The 6,000-nt window shown below is 49.7% G+C and overlaps 2 annotated features.

The window, feature by feature from the left end:
• Nucleotides 797-1,047: a silencer, noted in NCBI's record as "fragment chr11:73643667-73643917 (GRCh37/hg19 assembly coordinates)". NCBI's record gives its function as "represses an EF-1alpha promoter that drives an FKBP-Casp9 reporter gene in an ReSE screen in HepG2 liver carcinoma cells {active_cell/tissue: HepG2}" and the evidence as "EXISTENCE:reporter gene assay evidence [ECO:0000049][PMID:32094911]".
• Nucleotides 4,970-5,604: an enhancer, noted in NCBI's record as "H3K27ac hESC enhancer chr11:73647840-73648474 (GRCh37/hg19 assembly coordinates)". NCBI's record gives its function as "activates a minimal SCP1, AML or CMV promoter by ChIP-STARR-seq in primed H9 embryonic stem cells {active_cell/tissue: H9 hESC(primed)}" and the evidence as "EXISTENCE:reporter gene assay evidence [ECO:0000049][PMID:30033119]".

The following is a 6,000-nucleotide window of genomic DNA, read 5'->3' on the forward strand; positions in this document are numbered from 1 at the left end:
CCCAGTTGTTGAATTTTTTTTTTTTTTGAGACAGAGTCTCACTCTGTCGCCCAGGCTGGAGTGAAGTGGTGCGATCTTGGCTCACTGCAACCTCTGCCTCCCGGGTTCAAGCAATTCTCCTGCCCAGTCTCCTGAGTAGCTGGGATTACAAGGGTGCACCACCACACCTGGCTGATTTTTGTATTTTTAATAGAGACAGGGTTTCACCGTGTTGGCCAGGTTGGTCTCAAACTCCTGACGTCAAATGATCCGCCCGCCTCAGACTCCCAAAGTGCTGGGATGACAGGCGTGAGCCACCGTGCCCAGCCCAGTTGTCAACTTTTTATTATGTTTGCTTTATCACTCTCTTTCTGTATATATGTACACAGGTTATATATGCTATATTTTTTCTGACTCATTTGAGAGTAATATGTAAATGTTACATTCTATTACTTTATTACCATTTGTGATGGTAAATTTTATGTGTCAGCTTGACTGGCCATGGTGCCCAGATGGTTGGTCAATTTTCTGGATGTTTCTTTCAAGGTATTTTTTTTTTTATGAGATGAACATTTAAAATCAGTGAATTTTGGGGCCAGGCAAGCTACTCAAGTCCAGCTACTCAAGAGGCTGAAGTAGGAGGATCGATTGGGCCCAGAAGGTTGAGGCTTCAGTGAGCCATGATCATACCACTGAGCTCCAGCCTAGGCAACAGAGCAATACCATGTCTCAAAAAATAAATGAATAAACTAAAATCAGGGGATTTTGAGTAAAGCAGATTACCCTCCATAGTGTGATAGTGTGAGTCGGCCACATCCAATCAGTTGAAGACCTTAATAGAACAAAGACTGTTGTCCCCCAAGCAAGAAGTTCTGTCAACAGACTGCCTTTGGACTCAGACTGCAGTTCTTCCCTGAGTCTCCAGACCATCAGCCTACTCTATCAGTTTCTGGATTTGCCAAGCTTCCTGTGAGCCAATTCCTTAAATGTCTCTCTCTCTTTCTATGTATATATACACATACACACACGTATCTATATGAAAACAGAACGTACACATCTTATTTGTCCGCCTTCTCTGGAGAGACCTGACATATGTCATTGTATGGATATACCGCATTTTGTTTATCCATTCGTCAGTTGATGAATGGGCTGACATTTGGGCTGTTTCCACTTTTTAGCTACTATGAAATACACTGCTAGCAGCATTCATGTGCAAGTTCTTGCGTTAACATATGCCTTCAGTTCTATTTGGTATATACCTAACAGTGGAATTGCTGGGTCATATGGTACCTATATTTAACTTTTTGAGGGGCTGCCAACTGTTTTCTAAAGTGGCTGTAACCATTTTACATCCTCTCTAGCAGTGTACGAGGGTTCTCATTTTTCCATGTCCTTGTTTTTTATTTATTTTATTTTTTTCTGAGACGGAGTTTCGCTCTTGTTGCCCAGGCTGGAGTGCAATGGCGTGATCTTGGCTCACTGCAATCTCCACCTCCTGGGTTCAGGCGATTCTCCTGCCTCAGCCTCCTGAGTAGCTGGGATTACAGGCATGTGCCACGACGCCTGGCTAATTTTTGCATTTTTAGTAGAGACAGGGTTTCACCATGTTAGTGAAGTGAACTCCTGACCTCAGGTGATCCACCTGCCCCAGCCTCCCAAAGTGCTGGAATTACAGGCGTGAGCCACCGCGCCCAGCCATGTCCTTGTTTTTTTCCATTTTTAAAGTTATAGTCTGTTGATGTTAAGGTGGTTAAAATGGTGTCTTCCAAGTTTCTCCACAGAAAATTAATAAGCATTTTGTGGGGAGCTACTTTGAAACTATATAAATATCCTGTTCCCATGAAACTTGCGTCAACTAGTTTTAGCATTCTTAGATGATTCTTGTCTGAATGAGTTATTCCCATGCTATTAATAATTGCCAAAGGGTGACTTTCTTATTCCATCATTCTTTCTATATTTATAATTAGCATTCTACCATAAGTTAGAACTTTCCCTTCTACCCCATTTATTTATTTAGTCATTTGCTTGTTTGTTCATTCGTAGATATATCAGTGTGGACTACTCATGGATTCATATTCTATGATTACAACTCATTCTTACTTTTATTTACTTTGATGTTAAAATTGTTCCAGTTTGGCCAGTGGACACTCCTTCAAGCTGGATCCTGTGTCCTTTTGACACGTTCCCATCATTCTCTGAGCACTTCCATATTTTCTGGTACCACAAGATGTTCCAGCCTCACCTTGTATTTTTCCAGCCCCATCCCTAGAACCAGTCACTTGTGTATGCGGCCTTGGTTCCATTTAGTAGATAATGGTATTCAGAAACCAAGATCCGGGCGCTAGTATACTTTGTTACTGGAGTGTTCCTGCTTCGGGGCCCTATCGGGGACAGTACATGAATGGCCCTTTCCACATCCATCGTTCTATAGTAAAAAGCATGAGTTCACACTGATGTCTCCAATTCCAGCCCACCTCCACAGGTTTTATTTTAGCCTTCCACGTATATACTTCCTTTCTTCAACAGTGAGGAACTTGCCTCTCATAATCCTCAATACCTCTCATAATCCACAGTACCTCTGTGAGTAACCAACCTGCCAGTACACAGCCCATCTCCTGTTTTACCCTCCCCCTGCACACATGGTTGTCACTCAGATGAGGTCTTCCTCTCTCCCTCCACCTCAGCCAGGCCTAGGCTGAGCAAGGCCTTCTCCCAACCCTCTGGATTTTCATTTTAATACATTTCTTTTCTAGTGGTAAGAGTGAAACAAATGACCAGCAAACGTGAAAAGATGCTCAACTTCATTAGTAATTAAACAAATGTAAATTAAAATTCAAAAGAAGGCTTGGTAATGCAAAAAAGGGTAATTCCATATTTTCATTTTGTAAATAGGAAAATGTGGCTAAGAAATAATTGTTTAAGGTCAGAAAACTAGTAGCTAACAGATAGGATTTGAACCTGGTCTTTGAGTCTACTGCCTCAAGGCTGAAGGAACATCTTCTATATGCTACATGCTTTCCTATAACTTTTATTATTATTATTCTAATTTTTTTGTAGACACGGGGTCTGGCTATGGTGCCCAGGATGGTCTTGAACTCCTGGCCTCAGCAACCCTCTGCCTCTGCCTCCCAAAATGCTAGGATTACAAGTGTCTGAAGTAGGAGGATCCATTGGGCCCACCTGGCCACCTATAACTTTATGTATTTTCCTACCAACCCTGTGTTACAGTTGATTGTTAATAATCCCATTTATGCGAACAAACTTAGGCTTAGGGCCATTAAGCAAGCTTGCTTCAAGTCATACAACTGGCAGGTGAGCTCGGCAGCATGAAGATTTGGTCACTTTCTGACCACTCAATTTACCCAAAACTTGCAGTTTATTTTTTAGCTCTTTAATTGACTTTTCTGTCCTTTGGCCCACCTCCAAAAGCGTGTTTTACTTACTCCAAATACACCTAAAGTAAGCCTTTTGCCTCAAATAATATGAAAGAGCTACTTCAAGGCAGGCCATCCTCTGTAACAGTGTGGTTTCAGAGACCCAGGAAAGTTCTTCAATATCTTAGGCACTAGTATCTGAAATGCCATCAGGGAACCAAGCTTTTCCTTCTGCAGTTAGAGATGAGATTTTTTTTGTTTGTTTTTTTAATTCAAGTAAGTTTATTTCTTTTTTTTTTTTTAAATGATTTAACTTTTATTCTGAAAAGCCTCCTGAATATTTATATCCCTAGAACGATACATAAGAATTGATCATCTTTCCTTATGGGAGGACTTTTTTCTTTTTTCTTTTTTTTTTTTTTTCTTTTTAATTTTATTTTTTTTTTAATTGATCATTCTTGGGTGTTTCTCACAGAGGGGGATTTGGCAGGGTCATAGGACACTAGTGGAGGGAAGGTCAGCAGACAAACAAGTGAACAAAGGTCTCTGGTTTTCCTAGGCAGAGTGTTTGTGTCCCTGGGTACTTGAGATTAGGGAGTGGTGATGACTCTTAAGGAGCATGCTGCCTTCAAGCATCTGTTTAACAAAGCACATCTTGCACCGCCCTTAATCCATTTAACCCTGAGTGGACACAGCACATGTTTCAGAGAGCACAGGGTTGGGGGTAAGGTCATAGATCAACAAGATCCCAAGGCAGAAGAATTTTTCTTAGTACAGAACAAAATGAAAATTCTCCCATGTCTACTTCTTTCTACACAGACACGGCAACCATCCGATTTCTCAATCTTTTCCCCACCTTGCCCCCTTTTCTATTCCAGAAAACCGCCATCGTCATCATGGCCCATTCTCAATGAGCTGTTGGGTACACCTCCCAGACGGGGTGGTGGCCGGGCAGAGGGGCTCCTCACTTCCCAGTAGGGGCAGCCGGGCAGAGGCGCCCCTCAGCTCCCGGACCGGGTGGCTGGCCAGGCGGGGGGCTGACCCCCCAACCTCCCTCCCAGACGGGGCGGCTGGCCGGGTGGGGGGCTGACCCCCCCACCTCCCTCCCGGACGGAGCGGCTGGCCGGGCAGGGGGCTGAGCCCCCCACCTCCCTCCTGGATGGGGCGGCTGGCCGGGCAGAGTGGCTCCTCACTTCCCAGTAGGGGCGGCCGGGCAGAGGCGCCCCTCACCTCCCGGACGGGGCGGCTGGCCGGGCAGGGGGCTGACCCCCCCACCTCCCTCCCGGACGGGGCGGCTGGCCGGGCGGGGGGCTGACTCCCCCACCTCCCTCCCGGACGGGGCAGCTGGCCGGGCAGAGGGGCTCCTCACTTCCCAGTAGGGGCGGCCGGGCAGAGGCGCCCCTCACCTCCCGGACGGGGCGGCTGGCCGGGCGGGGGGCTGACCCCCCCACCTCCCTCCCAGATGGGGCAGCTGGCTGGGCAGAGGGGCTCCTGGCTGGGCAGAGGGGCTCCTCACTTCCCAGTAGGGGCGGCCGGGCAGAGGCGCCCCTCACCTCCCAGACGGGGCGGCTGGCCGGGCGGGGGGCAGAGCCCCCCACCTCCCTCCCGGACGGGGCGGCTGGCCGGGTGGGGGGCTGACCCCCACCTCCCTCCCGGACGGGGTGGCTGCCGGGCGGAGACGCTCCTCACTTCCCAGACGGGGTGGCAGCCAGGCGGAGGGGCTCCTCACTTCTCAGACGGGGCGGTTGCCAGGCGGAGGGTCTCCTCACTTCTCAGACGGGGCGGCCGGGCAGAGACGCTCCTCACCTCCCAGACGGGGTCGCGGCCGGGCCGAGGCGCTCCTCACATCCCAGATGAGGCGGCGGGGCAGAGGCGCTCTCCACATCTCAGACGATGGGCTGCCGGGCAGAGACGCTCCTCACTTCCTAGATGGGATGGCGGCCGGGACGAGGTGCTCCTCACTTCCCAGGTGGGATGGCGGCTGGGCAGAGACGCTCCTCACTTTCCAGACTCGGCAGCCAGGCAGAGGGGCTCCTCACATCCCAGACGATGGGCAGCCAGGCAGAGACGCTCCTCACTTCCCAGATGGGGTGGCGGCCGGGCAGAGGCTGCAATCTCCGCACTTTGGGGGGCCAAGGCAGGCGGCTGGGAGGTGGAGGCCGTAGCGAGCCGAGATCATGCCACTGCACTCCAGCCTGGGCACCATTGAGCACTGAGTGAATGAGACTCCGTCTGCAATCCCGGCACCTCGGGAGGCCGAGGCTGGCGGAACACTCGCGGCTAGGAGCTGGAGACCAGTCCGGCCAACACAGCGAAACCCTGTCCCCACCAAAAAAACACGAAAACCAGTCAGGCGTGGCGGCGCGCGCCTGCAATCGCAGGCACTCGGCAGGCTGAGGCAGGAGAATCAGGCAGGGAGGCTGCAGCGAGCCGAGATGGCAGCAGTACAGTCCAGCTTTGGCCCGGCATGAGAGGGAGACCGTGGAAAGGAGAGGGAGAGGGAGACGGGAGAGGGAGAGGGAGAGGGAGAGGGAGACGGGAGAGGGAGAGGGAGACGGGAGAGGGAGAGCGAGGAGAGATGAGATTTTAAACACAGCACTCCTTTTTCCCTATATGAGTGATGTGAGATTCTTTTTTTTTTTTTTTT

This window comes from Homo sapiens, chromosome 11, assembly GCF_000001405.40.
Source record: "Homo sapiens chromosome 11, GRCh38.p14 Primary Assembly".
Taxonomy (NCBI): domain Eukaryota; kingdom Metazoa; phylum Chordata; class Mammalia; order Primates; family Hominidae; genus Homo; species Homo sapiens.